This window comes from Homo sapiens, chromosome 15 (assembly GCF_000001405.40).
Source record: "Homo sapiens chromosome 15, GRCh38.p14 Primary Assembly".
Classification (NCBI taxonomy): domain Eukaryota; kingdom Metazoa; phylum Chordata; class Mammalia; order Primates; family Hominidae; genus Homo; species Homo sapiens.
The window spans coordinates 31,097,553-31,117,035 of NC_000015.10; the positions used below are offsets into that span (position 1 = coordinate 31,097,553).

Sequence of the window (19,483 nt, forward strand, 5' to 3'; positions counted from 1 at the left end):
GGAAACCTCCACTTTTTTGTTAGTCTACCTGGGGGACTGATTAAACCAATTAACGACGTACCAAATCATGGACTATGCAACCATGAACAAGACTAACACAGAACTCTAAAGTGTAAACGTCTCCATTATGAATTGAAAAAAAAAGCGTAGTAAAATATTTCCGATGTGATCCAGCTCTACAGGAACAAACTTCCCGATATTCAAGAGCAGAGCTGTCCCGCATGGTAGACCCTGGCTACCTGGGGCTGTTGCGCACCTGAGATGTGGCCAGGGTGAATGGAGACATGCTGTGAGTGTGAGATGGCACGCTAATGTTCACTGTGACATGAGAGCTGAAAACGAGGTGTGTGGCAGGATTTCAAAGACTTAGAACAATAAAGAAAGACATAAAATACCTCATTAGTATGTGTTTGGTATTGACTACATGTTGAAACAATCATATTTTAGATATATTGTGTTAAATGAATTATAGAATTAAAGTTAATTTCACTTATTTGTTTTTACTTTTCCTTTTTAAGTGGCTACTACACAGTTTGAAATTATGTCTGTGGCGCGTGTGCTATTTCTATTAGGCAGCAGAGGTCTAGAATAATACACATCAGGCCGGGCGTGGTGGCTCACGCCTGTAATCCCAGCCCAGCATTTTGGGAGGCTGAGGTGGGCGGATCACCTGAGGTCAGGAGTTTGAGACCAGCTTGATCAACATGGTGAAGCCTTGTCTCTACTAAAAATACAAAATTAGCTGGGCGTGGTGGCGGGCACCTGTAATCCCAGCTAGTTGGCAGGAGAATCGCTTGAATCTGGGAGGCGGAGGTTGCGGTGAGCCGAGATCATGCCATTGCACTCCAGCCTGAGCAACAGAGCAAGACTCTGTCACACACACACAAAAATAATAATAATACACGTCAAACACTAAGCATGGTCCACAGCACGGGAGAGTAGGGATCAGGAGGAGTGTGTAAGCAGGACTTCACTTGGCTCTTCTGTGGGGTTTTCCAACTTTATATATTCATGTAGTATGCTTTTTAATGATTAACAAACAAAAAAGGGCACTGTGGCCATGATTCCCGAGGAGCAAGCTTTCCACCTCACCAAGCCTGAAGAATTTGCCCATTCCTGTGCCCTGTCTCCAGGAGAGCCAGGGCCACCTGCCATGAGCGTTACCCCTACCTTAAGGCATTTCAGGCATTACCCACCCTGGGGGAGCAGACACAGGATGGATAAGTTGTGATGAGGGAGGAGGATACCTGTGCTTGCCACTTTAATGGCAGGGGCAGACAGGGGGCCAGGGATTGGGGGAGCGGGAGCCAGAAGCCGTGAGGGAGGGGACAAGGTGCACAGCGACAAGGTCTCAGCAGCGGGGGAGGGGAGTGCTGTGGCCTGATGTTAACTTGTTTTCTTAAAGTCAGCTCTAGCATTGTAAATGCATTTTTCCCCACTTAGCAATTGAAGATACAGTTTCTGAAAAGCAGTGAGATAGATACTAATATGTGCTTTCTACAAGAGGCTGGGAAAATTGCTCCTGGCGCGATGGGCATCTGAGGTAACAGAAAAATCTCTTTCCTGGACTCTGCCTGCTCCCAATGGATGCTGTAATTCCTTCACCCATGGCTGAGTCTAACCTCAGAGCTTGCAAAAGAGGAGGATGGCAGATACTGACCCATCAGATATGCCTTTGCATATCACTGAGGGCAACATGTCTCTTGCTACTGTCTACTTAATGGAGGTTTTAAGACGTTAAATCCCCTTAATCTCTAGGTCATGGAAGGCTTGGGGGTATTGTGTCCTCTTATTCTCCTGGCTGAGGGCTTCCATCTTCCCAGGTCCAGCATTTACACACACACACCCAGACACACACACATACACTCTCAAATTATAGGACATCTTCCAAACATTGTCAATCAAAGCCAAAGCCAATTTTCTAAAAACATCTACTGCCCCCAGTAGGAGGATTTTAGGTTGATAGAAAATCTGTTTTGTTTTCACTTAGTTCAGAATGAAGATGACTCGCATCTTAAAATGCCTGAGTGTCATTTCACTTCTTGTGCTTATCAGCTTTACAGAGCAAATAAATGAGGTTGCACAGAGCCAAACCAAACACAACTCCAAACTTCTCCCAGAAAATAATCAATAAAACATAAACAGGTACAGCAAACACATTCAACATGAGTTGATATTTCCAATTACATTTTCTGGGGGAGGAGGGCTAAAAAATACACTGCAGAGAATAGACAATTTATGCTATAAATATAATTGCAAATGCCATGAATTAAAACTGCTGCTGGATAGTTCAAAACAATGGTGTTTTGAGAACCTGACCAAAGGCAGTCTTTCCCAGAATCAGTCCCGTATTCATCAAGTGCACTCATAGAGAGGCAGGGCTCCGTTCTTAATTCCTCCCTAAATATCTGATTCAGACAGAGAAAATGTGTCTCATCTTCCTTCCCCATTCTCAGTTCCTATCCCTTGTCAACGCAAACACAATTTATGCAAATATTCTTTCTTTGTTTCTTTCTTCTTTCTTTCTTTCCTTCTTTTTTTTTTTTTGATGGAGTCTCACTCTGTCGCCCAGGCTGGAGTGCAGTGGCGCAGTCTCGGCTCACTGCAACCTCCACCTCCTGGGTTCAACCTCTCCTGCCTCAGCCTCTCGAGTAGCTGGGACTACAGGCGCGCACTACCATGCCCAGCTAATTTTTGTATTTTTAGTAGAGACAGGGTTTCACCATGTTGGCTAGGATGGTCTCTATCTCTTGACCTCGTGATCTGCCTGCCTCAGCCTCCCGAAGTGCTGGGATTACAGCCATGAGCCATCGCGCCTGGCCCTGCAAATATTTTCATTCCTCCCTACCTCCCCCACTACTTTTGCTAATTTTTGCTAAGGTTTAAAAAAACATACACATTGTATACATGCACCAAAAAATCACATGTACCCCCACAATATGCACAACTATGATGTACTAATAAAAAGTACAAAAGATATATTTTCTGGGAAAAAAAGGAAAATTAATTTGTGATAGAAAATGATTAAAGAAGACAAAAAATGTAGAAATGTACAAAAGAATAAATAAACACCACCCATAAGGCCTCCATCCTAAAACAACTGATATTTCCTTGTATTTCTAGGCTTTTTCCGTGAATAGATTAGACAGGTGCATGTGTGTGTAATGAAAAACACAATAATTCTGTACGGTTATTATGCCTTTTTCTCTGTCATTTTAAAAGTGACTGCGTGATGTTTCATCCTATGGACAGACCATGATTGATGTGTCCAGCCCTCTGCTTCTGGGCGTTTGGGTTGTTTGCTGTGCTTCCCGGTAGCACACAAAGCTGTGTCAATGTTGGCATCCCTTCAGGATTCGCTCCTCAGGATGGGTTCCTAGGTGTGGACTTGCAGGGCTTTGCTGCATGTTGTTGAACTGCCTTCCAGAAACCAGTTTGCACTGCTCCCAGCAGTGAGAGGGAGCAGTAATCTCCCCTCCTGATCCTGTTCCGTGTAACCAATCTCTTCCCCAAGGCTTTCACAGGTGAAATATCAGCTGATAAAGGCTTACAAGTATAAACCCTGTCTCTCCTAGAACTTCAGCATTTTCTGGGGTTCTAAGGAAGGTGCACCTTTTCCCTGAAGCAAAGTAAGATGCTAAGGAATGACAGGCAAGAGGTTGAGGCCTGGAGCCGGGGCTCCTGAGCAGATCCCTGGCACCTGGATTTAGAAGCTGGCCCTGAGGGAAGCTCAGAGGGTTTCAGCCTCTTTGAGACCAGCTGACAGAGTACTTATCCCCTCTGTGAATCAACCTGGTGGGTCCCTTCTGCTGAGACAGCCTCTTGGAACCCAGGCTGAACACAGGTTCACCAGCTGCTCCATAGGGTCCTGTCCAGCCAGCCTCAAGAGGAGATGAGTAACAGGCCCCAGAAAGCACACCTGAGCTTGCCTGCACCTGCTCTTACTTGCACCTGAGCCTACCTGCACCTGAGGTTACCAACACCTGAGCTTAACTGCATCTGTGGTTATCTGCACCTGAGTTTGTCCACGCTTGAGTTTACCCACACCTGAGGATACCTGCACCTGACCTCCCTTCACCTGTGCTTACCCGCATCTGAGCTTACCTGCCACAGCAGTGGAATGGAGAGGGCACAGCTCAGGCTCTTTCAGCCTCCTCCTTGGCCAGGGCAGGGAGCTGGGTGAGGAGGGCCCACCCTTTAAGAGGAGCAGTCCCCATGAGGAGCATGTGAGCACTTGGGCCTGGGCCCTCATGATTGCTGTGAAGCGATGGCCCCATGACCTGACTCCCAGGCCAGAAAAGGAAGCCAGGGCCCCAAGCTTCCAGGCTGTTCTGTGTGGAATCCCACAAAGGCAGCCTTAGGATGTGAGAGAGGTAGGGGAGCTAGAGCTTTTCCTTTGAAGTGGCCCCGCCATGGCCCCCTCCCACCCAGCCGCCCTTCCCTGGCTGGAAATGTCAGCAGGGTTTGCATAATTGAGACAATTGGACATAATGGTTCTTTCAGAATCCCCTCATCAGCTGGGCAGTGTTCGTGCCCCGGGGAGCTGGGAGAAGGCGGCACATGGCACTAATTACTGCTAATCCTTCCTCATCTAAGTTGGGCCTGAGGTCAGGGTGAACCCAGCTGCAAATGCAGTGTGAGCCCCACATGACTCTCAGCCCCTTCTGAGTGCTTCTAATCCCTGCTCTCCCCCCTTCACCAGGAGCTTGCCTGCTTGGCATCCACAGTCACCTGAAAACCACCACGGTGGGAGCTCTGTTGGATTTGCTGTAACAGTATGCGTGGTTATTCCAGCTTTCCATGAGCTTTCTCAGCCCAGGAGGAAAGAAAAAACCCAAACCCTGAACTATCCCTCTCTGCAGAGGGGCTGGGTCTTCCCCAGCATCTGAGGCTCTTGGGCATTGTCCGCCTCCCGCTTCTCACAGAGGAGCAGACAGATTGGACGTAAGGGCAATTAGGGGTGTTCCCATTTTACAGATGAGGACTCTGAGTCATGTGAGAGGGTGGCTTGCCCAGAGAGCAGGTGGGGTGGAGTGGGAGTGCCCAGGTTGTCAAGTTCTGCCCATATGTAGAGTCCTGAAGCTGGAGGCTGGGCTCACTCCCCCACCCAATGCCTGGCAGACAGCCTGGGGCTCAGGGAATCTCTGAACTTCTGACGGAAGCACATGTGCCAGGCCATTTTCTGGGTCTGTCTTTGCTTTCATTCGTTTCTCTCAGGGTCTGTCACCGCAGAGTGGGCGTGCAAAGGGTCTGGTGAGTGGCTCCCACGTGCTTTGCTGGAGCGCGCACAGCCCCTGGGCGCACAATGACCGCAGCAGCCTCCCTGGCCTGGCTCCCGAGTCTTCTTTCTTGAACTGGTGTTGGCTCCTGAGGCCTGAGAGAGTCACGGCTTCAGCGGGAACCCTTCCGGGGGCTGAGGGAGGGTGCTACGTGGCCGGAATTCTGAAGGCACAGTCAGGGCAATCCGGGGCATCTGAAATCAGTCTGGGAGCAGTGGGGAAAGACCACATGGGGAAGTGAGCTGATGGCCGGCACTGCCATGGCTGGGAGGTGTGGAGGCTCTGTGGTCAGCACCAATGGCCAGCCCGACCGGCTGCCAGTCAGTGGCTCTCCAGGCAGTGGGCCCTTCACTAGACAAATAAGCTCTTTTTCAGGTTCAGATAAGATGGAAACAATGGGAGCCCCATCCTTCCCCAAGAGAACACCCCTCCTCCCCAGGGTCCATGCAGTGTGGCCTGCAACTGGGAGCTGAGATGTCTCACACAGTGGCCACAGGCCACGCGTGGCTATGGAGTGCTGGAAACAGAGCCAGTCAGAATTGAGATATGCTCCGAATGTAAAATATACACGGGATTGCCAAGACTTGTGATAATAATCGATTGCACATTGAAATATTTAGAACATGTTGGGTTGAATAGAATGTTATTAATTTTTTTCACCTGCTTCTATTTACTTTTCAAAACTGACTACTAGAAAATTTTAAATTGGCCCAGCTCACGCCTGCAATTCCAGCACTTTGGGAGGCTGAGGCAGGTGGATCACCTGAGGTCAGGAGTTCGAGACCAGCCTGGCCAACATGGTGAAACCTCATCTCTACTAAAAATATAAAAAATAACCGGCCATGGTGGTGGGTGCCTGTAATCCCAGCTACTCGGGAGGCTGAGGCAGGAGAATCACTTGAACCCTGGAGGCGGAAGTTGCAGTGAGCTGAGATCACACCACTGCACTCCAGCCTGGGTGACAGAGTGAGACTCTGTATCCAAAAAAAAAAAAAAAGAGAGAAAGAAAGAAAAAGAAAAAAAAAAGAAAATTTAAAATTGCCTCTGCTCTGTGGCTCACAGCTATGGCTCACCTTGTATTTCTGTTGGGCGGTGTTGAGCTGCAGCTGTGGGGAAAAGGGGTTCTCACCAGACTGTCCACTCTCCAGAGGCATCCTCCCCCATGAAGTCACTTGGATGACCTGGTGCATGGACACAGTGTGTGAGGACTGTGGAGAGACGCTGTAAGGTCTGAGAATCATTATGTGTCTGTGGAGCCGTCTGAGGACACAAGAACACCACCGTGAAGGGTGGATACTGACCACTCACTCCTCACCCAGCTGCGGGGGTGCAGTCCTTCTCCTCATGGGGGAGCCATGAGGACACATTCCTCAGAGGGAATAAGAGGCCGGCTGGCGGTCACAGTTGGTGAGAGTGTGGGGACAGTGACCTGTATGCTCACCTGTGTGGGGCCCTGATGAGGTCATGGGAGATCCCCAGGCTAGCAGGGGACACCCCAGGTGGAGGCCCAAGGGTCCTGGTTGGACTCTGAGATGAGCCAGCAATATTGTTTCTCATGCTCCTTTGTTCCCTGCACTTCCTGACCAATAGTTAGTCTCGAAACCTGTTCAGATTCAAGGTGGACTTTTGCAATAAGACTTTTTGGTGGTAGTGTGTCCTTCTGTTAGGAGACATCTCTTTTGCAATGCCGGCGGACTTTGGTGATGACTGTCTAGGGCCATGATATCCCTAGGACTTGCAAAATGGTGATCTTCCTTTTTTTTTTTTTTTTTTTTTTTTTGAGACGGAGTCTTGCTCTGTTGCCCAGGCTGGAGTGCAGTGGCGCCATCTCGGCTCACTGCAAGCTCCGCCTCCCAGGTTCACACCATTCTCCTGCCTCAGCCTCCCGAGTAGCTGGGACTACAGGTGCCTGCCACCACGCCCGGCCAATTTTTTTGTATTTTTAATAGAGACTGGGTTTCACCGTGTTGGCCAGGATGGTCTCAATCTCCTGACCTTGTGATCCGCCCACCCTGGCCTCCCAAAGTGCTGGGATTACAGGTGTGAGCCACCATGCCCAGCTGCAAAATGGTGATCTTCTAATTAGGTCGACTCTTCTTTATTTGTTAGCTGGAATTCATCCATAAATAGAAACTTTCCCTGGGCAGATTTGGTCACTCTGAGGCACAGCTTGCAGAGGAAAGGCAAGAAAAAGGTTTCCATCTCCAGTGGAATTGGTTGCTTCCTTGGCCTCATTCCAATGTGACTAATGCATTCCTTTTCTTCAGAGTGTCAGTATAAATTCATGGATTTGAACATATTTGATGCATTTAAATCCACAGCAGTTATTTTTCTTACTATTGTTCACATGGTCCCAGTTTCACAAAGCCTCCTGAATCCTTCTGACGCCACCCCAGGAATCTCTGAGAGCCTCTTTGCTATCTGGAATGCAAAGATGTTTGGGATCATCTTGTACATTTCTTGCCGCAGATCTAGGCTCAGGCACTTCTCCAAGGAGCCCTGGTTCCTTTGAGTGAGAAACAGTATTCAGAAACTAGGATCTGCTTCTGAACTGAATTGTTTCTGAGCCTTTTCAGCAGGCGGAACTATGAAGCTGTGTGTCTCTGTGTGTGTGTGTGTGTGTGTGTGTGTGTGTGTGTGTGCGCGCGCGCGCGCGTGCATCTGTAAAGAAAATGCATCATGATAATTTTCAATTCAAATTTAGAAACAGAGGGATTTTACTTAACTTCCTTGATTTCATGTTTGTGTCTCTTTTTGCTTATGCTAAAAGCCCTATTCCTAATGACATTAAAAGCTTTCTCTTTTGCTTTATCCTGAATATAGTTTCAAGTAACACACCCATATTGCTAACAGTACTGGAAGCAGTTTAAAAGACTGTTTTGTTGTTCTTTTTCACCTTGCATATGTCCTATTAGGTTTTTTCAAGAACTTAAAGTTATTATTCTCTGTGTGGTTATTCTACACACTTGATACACAGCGAGTTCGGGGAACACAGTATCCGAGGACTGTGGGGAGACGCTGGCAATGTCTGAGAATTATTATGTGTCTAGTGAGCTGTCTGAGCAAATAACAATAGCACTAACACTAAAGGCAGATTTCCAGTAAGATTCACTCATTGAATTTTCCATTGGATTTCCATGCATTGTTTTAGGAATTAGTTTTTAAATATAAGTCTGTTTTATAATTAAGTGAAACGTTTGCATTTTGGCAAAGTCCAATCTGCAAACAAGATTCTTTCAGAGTAGTCTGGCTGTGGCATCTGTCTTTCTCCCTCATTCTTCTTTCCCCACAAGTAAACCTTTTTCTTTTCTTTTTTTTTTTTTTGAGATGGAGTTTTGCTCTTGTTGCCCAGGCTGGAGTGCAGTGGTGCAATCTCAGCTCACTGCAACCTCTGTCTCCTGGGTTCAAGGGATTCTCCTGCCTTAGCCTTGCAAATAGCTGGGACTACAGGTACGTGCCACCATGCCTGGCTAATTTTGTATTTTTAGTAGAGACAGTTTCACCATGTTGGTCAGGCTGGTCTCAAACTCCTGACCTCAGGTGATCCACCCGCCTCGGCTGCCCAAGGTGCTGGGATTACAGGTGTGAGCCACCACGCCTGGCCGCCACAAGTAAACTTAAAAAAAAATTATTGTTTTATCCTTTCACTTTTTAAGTATAAATATATATGTATTGTTTCTCTCCGCCTCTTTCTCACAAAGATGGTAGAGGACTTTACACACTTTTCTCTGCTTTGCCTTTGGCACTTCTCTTCTCCACTTTTCTTGGAGGTGACATGGCTGCCTCTCATTTCTTTTGACAGCTGTGTGGCCCGAATCCCTGAGTGGATGCATGAGAGTTGATTTCACCAGACCCGTGTCAATGGGCACTTGAGTGGCTCTTGGTCTCTACAAATAGCACAGCAACAAAAAGTCTTGCCACATGTCCTTTTGCATTTGTCTGTAATCTTTAGGCTAGATTCCGAGAAGTGAGATTGCTGGGATTAAGGGTATAAATATGAAATTTGCTTATATTGCAAAACTTCCCTTCATAGAGATTGTAGCATTTTGCATTTCCAGTGGGATTTTATGAGTCCTTGTTTTCCCACAGCCTCACCAACAAAATACGTTGTTACACTTTTAGAATTTTGCCAATCTTATTAAGAAACGGTTTCTCAATATAGTTTTGCAATATAGTTGTCTTCATTTTTTTGGATATTGTTGTCTGGTTTTGATATCTGGGTAAAACTGGCCTCATAAAATGAGTTGGGCAATGACTCCCCGCCACTTATATTTTCTGTAAGAGTTTGTGAAAGATTGGTCTTCATTCTTCTTTACAAGTTTGGTAGAATTTACCAGTGAAGCCATCTGGGCCTGTGGTTTTCTTTATGGGAAGTTTAAATATTACTACTCCAATGTCTTTACTTTTTATAGGTCTGTTCAGATTTTTCTGTTTCTCCTTGAGTCAGTTTCAGTAATTTGTCTTTGCAGGAATTTGTCCATTTCATCCAGGTTTTAAAATCTGTTGGCATCCAGTTATTCATGGTATTCCCTTATGATCCTTTGTATTAATATGTCTAGAAAATCATTAGTGATGCCCCTTTTTCATTCCTGATTTTAGCAATTTGAGTCTTCTCTGTTGTTTAGATGGCCAGTCTAGCTAAAGGTTTTTCAATTTTGTTGACCTTTCCAGGGAATCAACTTTTGGTTTCATTAATTTCTTCTATTGTTTTTCTACGCTTTATTTTATTATTTCCACGCTAGTCTTATTTTCTTCCTTCTGCTTGATTTGGATTTAGTTTGCTTGTCTTTTTCTATTTTCTAAAGTTGAAGGTTAGGTTATTTATTTGAGATCTTTCATTCTTAATACGGGTGTTTACAGCTATAAATTTCCCTCTGAGCACTATTTTAGCTGCATCCAATATAGTTTTTCATATTTGTTCATCTTAAGATATTTTATAACTTTTCTTGTGACTTTTTTAGCCCACTGGTTACTTAGAAGTATGTAATTTAATGTCCACTTACTTTTGAATTTGTAAATTTCTTTTCTTTTCTTTTTTTTTTTTGAGACTGAGTCTTGCTCTGTTGCCCAGGCTGGAGTGCAGTGGCATGATCTCAGCTCACTGCAACCTCTGCCTCCAGGGTTCAAGTGATTCTCCTGCCTCAGCCTCTCAAGTAGCTGGGATTATAGGTGTGTGACCCCATGCCTAGCTAATTTTTGTATTTTTAGTAGAGATGGGGTTTCACCATATTGGCCAGGCTGGTCTCGAACTCCTGACCTCAGGTGATCCACCAACCTCGGCCTCCCAAATTGTTGGGTTTACAGGCGTGAGCCACCACGCCTGTCCAATTTTTTTTTCTATTATTGATTTCTAATTTAATTCCACTGTGGTTGGAGAACATACTTTGCATGGCTTTAAAAATCCTTTTACACTTATGAAGGCTTGTTTTATGGCCTAGCATATGGTCTGTCCTAGAGAATGGTCCATGTGCACATGATAAGAATGTGTATTTTGTTGTTGGGTGTAGTATACTCTTAGACGTCTGTTAGGTCAATGTAGTTTTAATTTGCATTTATCTTACTATGAGTAAGGTTGGCATCTTTTCATGTGTAAGGGCCATCTGTATTTCTGTGTCTGTGAACTTTCCACATCTCTTGCTCATTTTTCTAGAGACTCTTTTTCTTTATTTTATTTTATTTGAGATGGAGTTTTGCTCTTGTTGCCCAGGCTGGAGTGCAACGGCACGATCTCAGCTCACTGCAACCTCTGCATCCCGGGTTCAAGTGATTCTCCGGCCTCAGCCTGCCAAGTAGCTGGGATTACAGGCATGTGCCACCATGCTCAGCTAATTTTGTATATTTTAGTGGAGACAGCGTTTCTCTGTGTTAGTCTGGCTGGTCTCGAACTCCCGACCTCAGGTGATCCATCTGCCTTGGCCTCCCAAAGTACTGGGATTATAGGCATGAGCCACCGTGCCCAGCCTTTTTTCTTTATTTTTAAAGCTTGTTCCTACATACCAAATATGGTGAAATTTTGACTGTAATGAAGTGGAAAGTATTTTTTTCCAGCTTGTCACTTGTCTTTTGACTTTACCTACTTGCCCTGGCTTCTTGCTTCCTTGATATCCACAGTCTATTTAATTGAATTTATCATTGAGATCACCTCTCCCATGCTCCAGACACTGCTGGTGCTGTGTGGAGATATGGGAATGACTCAGAAATGACTTTTGAGGATTTGCATGCTAGTAGGGGAGCCAGTGCTCATATAAACACATTTGAAATACAAGGCAGACTATAGGAAGCACTGCAATCAGCTTTGACACGCAAGAGGAAAGCATAAAGGGAGAGGGAGCTTTCAAAAGAAAGGGGAGTAATGGGCCACGTGAGGTGGCTCACGCCTGTAATCCCAGCTATTATGGAGGCCGAAGCTGGAGAATCACTTGAACCTGGGAAGCAGAGGTTGCAGTGACCCGAGATCACGCCACTGCACTCCAGCCTGGGCAACAGAGTGAGACTCTGCCTCAAAAAAAAAAAAAAAAAAAAAAAAAAAAGATAAAAGAAAAAGAAAAGAAGAGAAAAGAAAAAAGAAAAAATAGAAAGAAGAGGCCAGGTGCAGTGGCTCACGCCTGTAATCCCAGTACTTTGGGAGGCCGAGGCAGGTGGATCACCTGAGGTCTGGAGTTCGAGATCAACCTGGCCACAACACGATGAAACCCCATTTCTACTAAAAATACAAAAAATTAGCTGGGCGTGGTGGTGGGTGCCTGTAATCCCAGCTATTATGGAGGCTGAGGCAGGAGAATCTCTTGAACCTGGGAGGCAAAGGTTGCAGTGACCCAAGATCATGCCACTGCACTCCAGCCTGGGCAACAGAGTGAGACTCTGTCTAAAAAAAAAAAAAAAAACCAGGAGTAATGGGGCTTCAAACTGAGCATATAGTTTGGATGGGAGTCCTGGCAGCAGACTTGAGGAAAGGGGGCACTTTAGAGTTGGAGATGACAGACAGTAGGGCATCAGGGAAACATCCTGTGAGCTGGAGCTTGGTTCCCAGGCTGGAGACGGGCGATGGGCAAAGAAAGAGGACAATAATGCTGGGGACAGAGGGCAGGTGTGGGGCAGGATGGGAGTCCAAGGGCTCAGGCCAGCACTGGCCAAGCAAAAGTTTTGTGAATCCTGATCTGAAAGCTCTGATCCAAAAACCTTCCTTTTCAAAGTCTTATTTGAAGTAAGGCTTATATTGGTTCAAAAAATTATATTGCTCCTGGCATTGGCTGCAGAGGTGGGCTTCCACTTTGCATACTGTTGAATTCTTTACATATATTTAAAATAAGTTAGCACTACTACTACTAGCTTAGTACTACTGATTCTCAGTTGGCAGAATCTCTGAAATAAAGAAATAAAAGTGGTAGGTTAAAAAAATCTTCATTTGTAAATTAAATTTATATTTCATTGAACAATGTCTCTATGAATTAAGAAGGCTAGAGAATAATTTAAAATCTTTGGTGTCGTTGTAAAAGATAATTACAAAAATAAACAAATGGATAACTAGATTAGGCAAAGACATAGAGGTCTATCAATACTTTTGATTACCGTAAACTCTGCTTCCATTTCTCCACTGACTGACGAAAAAAATAAAGTAGGTTTCCCCACTTGGAGGAAAATAAGGTCGTCGGATATTTGGAACGTGGGTCTTGGAAACTCCTCTCTTTGTCTGGAAGGCAGAGGGTCTTCCTGGTGAGCCTTAAGATCCAAGTTGGCCAAAATATGCTGGCCGTTCTCCGTAGGCCGCCCAGCCTCGTCAACAGGTGAACGTTGGCAGCAGTCTTTTTGCACCACTCTTCTGCACCCTACGGCTCAGGATTCAGGAAGTGAGACCTCCTGAGGCCCCTCTATTGCTCCCCATCCTCCATTGGAGGGCACAGGCCTGTGAGGACCGGCCATGGAGTTATCAGTGGGAGGATCGAAATTGGACAGTTACTTCCTGTCTGATTCTAAGAACCTTCTTTTCATTTTTTTCTCCTTTCTGTTTTCTTTCTCTCTCTCTCACTTTTTCTTTTCTTTCTTCTTTCTTTCTCTTTCTCTCTCTCTCTCTCCCCCCCCTTCCCTCCCTCCCTTCTGCTTTTTCTGCTCCTCAGTGGGTTGTGTTGCAGTGCTGGCAGATGATATGTGCTAGAATAACAAACACACGGTTAAAAACCTGCCAAGCATTTAATGGTTTTTTGTTTCTTTGTTTTAATCTTCAGAATACTCTCTACAATGAAAATAAAACCAGTGACTCTGTAGTGGAGATAATCCATTGTGTTACAGCTTTGTAGCTGTAAACCTGGTTGGTCCTGGATCCTGCCATGAGTAAAGGTTGCAGCTGGAGCTTCCGGAAATTCCTAGCAGAGAGCATTATCTGAGCTGGCTTTCCTTCTCATCAAACTCCTAACATCTCATTAATCCGCAACTCCACTAACTGCACGTAAGAAGCCCCAGTGTGTCACTGTGCTGGCATCCCTGAGAGTCTGAGTGTAACGTTCTGCCCTTTGCTGGGACCTAATGGAGGACTTTCAAATCCCAACACCATGGCTAACACTTCTGAAGTCTTCACTCTGGAGTGATGGCAAAATTCCCAAAATGTGGGTCCAATTATATGGAAGTTGATTCGACCTTTTCTTCCTTCAAGATGTCTGTGTTCCTGAGAAGAAATGTGGGCAGGAATAATGGCAAGAGATGATTTTGCCTCAATCTGACTTCAAGCTTCTTTTGTTGATAGCAGCAGACTGCATGAAAACAGGATCTTTGGGGACAAAATGATGCTCCTGAGCCCCATGTAGGCAGCTGTGGCTCCTCACAGTCCACACGGGAAGACGTCTCAGTGTTTAGAAGAGCTCAACGCATGGCACCCCTCTTCAACACCTGGCGCCCAGGGCGTTATTTCTATCTCCTGTGTCCTCATGCCCTCTTAGAACGGGAGAGCTCGTAACAGTCTTCAAGTTGATCTCCTGTTAGTGTCATGTCCTTAAGTAATGCTTTATCGCTTCTAAAATCTGAATTTTACCCCATTGGTTACAATAACCCATAAAGCAAAACAAAGCACCCACCCCCCCAAAAAAATTTGGCTGTACCTAGTAAATCGCAGTGAAACTTTTGTTCTGGGAATAGAGTATTGTTACCCGAAACTTTTGTTTAAATAAGCACAAAGACTTCGCATTTTTATCTTTTGAAAAAATCTTTGGAAAAGTCTGAAACACAGGCCAAGGCAAGGCTGCTAACAGAAAGGTAGAGAGTGTGAGCATACAGAGCTTGGGTAGGACAAGTGCTGGAAAGTGTGGCAATAGAAGAAGGGATGTGGCATTCTACTTTTTAAAGCTCATTCCTTCTTCCCGAGTTGATTCAGAAATTGAGTGGCTGGGAGCTGTGGCTCATGCCTGTAATCCCTTTAGGAGGCCGAGGTGGGTGGATCACCTGAGGTTGGGAGTTTGAGATCAGCCTGACCAACATAGAGAAACCCCATCACTACTAAAAATACAAAATTAGCCGTGCATGGTGGTGCATGCCTGTAATCCCAGCTACTCAGGAGGCTGAAGCAGGAGACTTGCTTGAACCTGGGAGGTGGAGGTTGTGGTGAGCCGAGATCGTGCCACTGCACTCCAGTCTGGGTTCTTGAGCAAATAACACCCTAGTTAAGGATTGCTAACAATTAGTCCCAAATGCTCCCCAGTCCTGGGAAACTTTGCTTAGCAGAGGTTTCTCCATCTCATGGTGCCCAGCTCCTTCCTCCCAAGGGGCCAATTAAACTTTTTTTTTAATTGGCTGAGATGAAAAGGCGTGGTGTCCACTTTGAGGGGTTCCTGATTCAGAGATAGCTCTTAGAGTACTGCGTCTGCCCAAAGGTGATATTCTCTAAACTCGGCCTCTTAGAGCTCAGGCATTCTCAACAAAAAAGATTCCACGTGAACTAAATTTGGGCAACTCTGCTTCCTGTATTTTCCTCTTGGAGATTCACAATGCATATTAGGATATTAAAATTCTGAGAAGTCCTGCCACAAAGAACCCCCTTTTCTTTCTTGTAACCCAGCATTCCTCAAACTCATTTGCCCATAGGATCTTTTTTCTTCTGAAATACCTCTTAATATTTCACATAACGAAAGTATCACAACAGAGGACTTGGGAAAAACTCGATTAACACAAGCTTAACCATCTGAGGTGCCGGTAAGTGTTCCGTGTTGGAGCAATCTGCTTCCTGAAGTCCCATTCAGAAGGCTGGAGCAGGTTCCTGACAGTAGAACCCCTGTCCAGGGCTGCTGTCTTGGCTTTAGGTAGCTAAGATCACCTCTCACTGTGTCTTCTGCCTGAATCACCCCCTTCAAAACTCACCACGGCCCACCTTCTCCAGCTGGTGAATGGTAACTCACAGGAGTGAATCTCCCAGCCAAATCAACAAGAAAGGGAGGGCTCCACAGGACAGGACCCCTGATTCTGCCTGCTCCTCCCTAACTCTCCAGGAAGAGTGCTGCCTCTGAGCCCCTGACTGGGAAAGACTTGGAAAGAGCCAGGGCCACCATGGACTGTCACAACCAACGGGGTTCTCCAAAGGGTCACCTATGCATACAGAATTCAATACCCAGCTCTGACAGTTTTTTTTTTTTCAAAATCTCTAAGGTATAGAGATAAAAATGGGTCAAACAATATCTTAAAGACAGTGACTGAGAATTTTCCAAACTGTCAAAAAACATTTTTCTTTGTACTCCTAAAATGTTTTTTTTTAACTTTAGGTTCCCCCATACAACTGCAGGTTTGTTACACAAGTAAACTTGTGTCATAGCACTTTACTGTACAAATTATTTTATCAACTAGTTTTTTGCCCTCCATCACCCACGTTTTAAGACTACTGTGCCCATAGTTAGTTCATTCCGGTGGATTTCTGGTCCCACCGCCTTTAAGAATGAAGCATGCGGACCTTCCCGGTGAGTGTTACAGCTCTTAAAGGTGGCAAGGACCCACAGTTAGCAACAGCAAGATTTATTGTGAAGATGTGAACAGCAAAACAACGACGCTCCCACACGCTGGAAGGGTACCGAGCAAATTGACTTTGCTGGCTAACGGGTGGGCAGCTTTTATTCCCTTATTTGGCCCTGCCCATGTCCTGCAGATTGGTCCATTTTACAGAGTGCTGATTGGTCCATTTTACAGAGTGCTGATTGGTCCATTTTACAGAGTGCTGATTGGTCCATTTTTACAGAATGCTGATTGGTGCATTTACAATCCTCTAGCTAGACAGAAAAGTTCTCCAAGTCCCCACTGGACACAGAAGCCCAGCTGGCTTCACCTCTCACTAGTACCCTTATTTTTTTCTGATCTTTTCTCTCCTCCCACTGTCCATCCTCCAAAAGGCCCCAGTGTGTGTTGTTCCCCTCTATGTGTCCAAGTGTTCTCATCATTTAGCTCCCATTTATAAGTGAGGACATGTGGTATTTGGTTTTCTGTTCCTGTGTTAATTTGCTAAGTATAATGCCCTCCAGCTTCATCCATGTCCCTGCAAAGGACATGATCTTGTTCTTTTTTATGGCTGCCTAGTATTCCATGGTGTATATGTACCACATGTTTTATCCAGTCTATTATTGATGGGCATTTAGGTTGATTCCATATCTTGCTGAAAGATGTTAATCCACAATTTAGGAATCCCAATGAACTCCAAGCATAATAAACACAAAGAAATACACATCTAGTCAAACGATAGTGAAATTGTTGAAAACCAAAGACAAAGGTACAATTTTAAGACATTGCAAAAGAAAAAGATTATCTTCTATACAGCAGACTGCTACTAAAAAGGCAGCTGACCTCTCAACAGAAGCAAAGAAGGGCAGAAGGTAACAAAATTATATATTCAGAGTGCTAAAAGGAAATAATTGCCAACCTAGAATTTTATGTCCAGAAAAAATATTCTTCCACAACAAAAGAAAAATGGAGACATTTTTAGACAAACTAACAGAGTTAATTTGTAATAGACTTAACAAAGAGCTTTCTTCAGACAGAAGTAAAAATATCACAAATAAAAGCATAGCACAAAAAAGAGTAAAGAACAAAGAAAATAGTAAATATGTGTGTACATCTAAATGGATACCAATTGTATAACAGAATAGCAATAATATCTTGCAGGAGTTAAAATAGATCTGAGGCTGGGCATTGTGGCTCATGCCTGTAATCCCAGCACTTTGGGAGGCCAAGGCAGGCGGATCACCTGAGGTTAGGAGTTCAAGACCAGCCTGGCCAAAATGGTGACATCCTGTCTCTACTAAAAATACAAAAAACATTAGTCGAGCATGGTGGCGGGTGCCTGTCATCCCAGCTACTCAGGAGGCTGAGGCAGAAGAATCGTCTGAACCCAGGAGGCGACCATGTCAGTGAGCCAAGATCGCGCCACTGCATTCCAGCCTGGGCAACAGAGCAAGACTCTGTCTAAAAAATAATAATAATAGATAAGTAAAAAGTAAAATAAAACAGATTTGGAATTAAATAAATGAAAAAAAACTTCTGGTTTCGGCTTGTATGTGTAAAAAGCCATCACTTTCATTCTCACAGCACGAAAAAGCTGTTTAGATCAATCAGACAGTTGAGGTCACAGGGGCAAACTGACACCCTGAAAAATGAAGAGAAAGGGAAATAGAATTATAGCTTCTAGAATCGGAGAAAATGCTAGAGCCAGAAATGGGTAGGACTGAAGCTGTAATTGATGAATTTCTGGAGGCTGACTGTGGACTAGCTTAGATGGTAAAGGTTCCAGAGATGGCCAATCTTAGGGTACCCCTCACACTTTTGTGAGTTTTACCTCCAAGCACTCCAGCAGATTCTCACAGTGAATACCACAGAAAAATCCCTTCCTGTTTCCAGCAGGGGATGGAGAAAAGTAACCCTGTTGAGACACACCCAGAGCCCTCTTCTGCTTGCCATCAAGGGAAACTACATTATCAGAGCCTGTCTTAGTCCATTCAAGCGGCTAAAACAAAAAATGTCATAAGCTGCCTGGCTTATAAACAACAAACATTTATTTCTCACAGTTCTGGAGGCTGGGAAGTCCAAAATCAAAGTGTAGGCAGATTTGGGGCCTGGTAAGAGCTTGTGTCTTCATAGACACACCTTTCAGCTATGTCCTCACATGGTGGAAGGAGCGAGATAGCTCTCCGGGGCCTCTTTTATGAGGGCACTAATCTCATCCCTGAGGACTCTGCCTCTTGATCTAATCATCTCCCTAATGCCCCAGTTCTTAATACTGTCACATTTGGGGTTGCATTTCAATAATTTTGGCAGGGACACAAACATTGAAGCCATAGCAGAGCCTAACCAATGTGGGGGAGGAAAAATACCAAACTGCAGCCCCCTCTAGTCTTCCCAGTGTTGGAAGGGAAATACCACACTCCAGCTCTCTCCAGCCCTCCTGTCTCACATAAGTTGGGGAAAAGCTGCTGAGAAGCACTTGTAGAAGTCACAGCCCAAGAACACAGGCTGAAGTCTAATTACAGCATTCTAAAGTGCCCGGCGCCGTGGCTCATGCCTGCAGTCCCAGCACTTTGGGAGGCTGAGGCAGGTGGATCACCTGAGGCTAGGAGTTTGAGAGCCGTCTGGCCAACACGGCGAAACCCCATCTCTACTAAAAATACAAGAATTAGCTGGGTGTGGTGGCATGAGCCTGTGATCCCAGCTATTTGGGAGGCAGGAGAATCACTTGAACCCAGGAGGCAGAGGCTGCAGTGAACCAAGATCATGCCACTGCACTCCAGCCTGGCCAACGAGAGCAAAACTCCATCTGAAATAAATAAATAAATAAATAAATAAATAAATAAAGTGCTTCCCTACTCCCACACCTTACCGGCATCACCAGAGGCTTCTGTATAATTCCAGAGGGTCACAGCTGAAAAACTGCAAGGCTTAGACTATTTAAGAATTTCCTAGGGAACCCAAAGATAACAGAGAGAGAGAAAAAAAAGATGCTGGAGGAAAGTGAAGCCAGAAACACCCACACCTACGGTAAACAGTGTAATCCCTGGCCAGATAAACATAAACCCTCACATTAAAGGCCTATTTACCTCACTTCTTCTTATGCAATGCATCATGTCTGGCTTTCAATAAAATAATTACAAGGTATGCCAAAACGCAAGAAAAGGCAGTGTGAAGAGAGAAAGCAAGCAAGGGAACTAGACTCAGATACAGCAGAGAGTTTGGAATCACCAGGCTGGGAATTT

At 45.1% G+C, this 19,483-nt stretch overlaps 1 protein-coding gene across 4 annotated transcripts in view; it reads right to left on the reverse strand.

The window, feature by feature from the left end:
* TRPM1 (transient receptor potential cation channel subfamily M member 1) overlaps positions 1-19,483 on the reverse strand; it is a 160,096-nt gene that overhangs the window by 96,488 nt on the left and 44,125 nt on the right. For 3 of the 4 annotated variants that reach the window (NM_002420.6, NM_001252024.2, NM_001252030.2), the window contains exon 1: positions 4,105-4,173. The exons of the other annotated variant lie outside the window; for it this stretch is intronic. The gene's annotated coding sequence lies outside the window, so the exon portion shown is untranslated. Of the gene's footprint in view, positions 1-4,104; positions 4,174-19,483 lie in introns of those variants that run through there. 4 annotated transcript variants of the gene reach the window in all.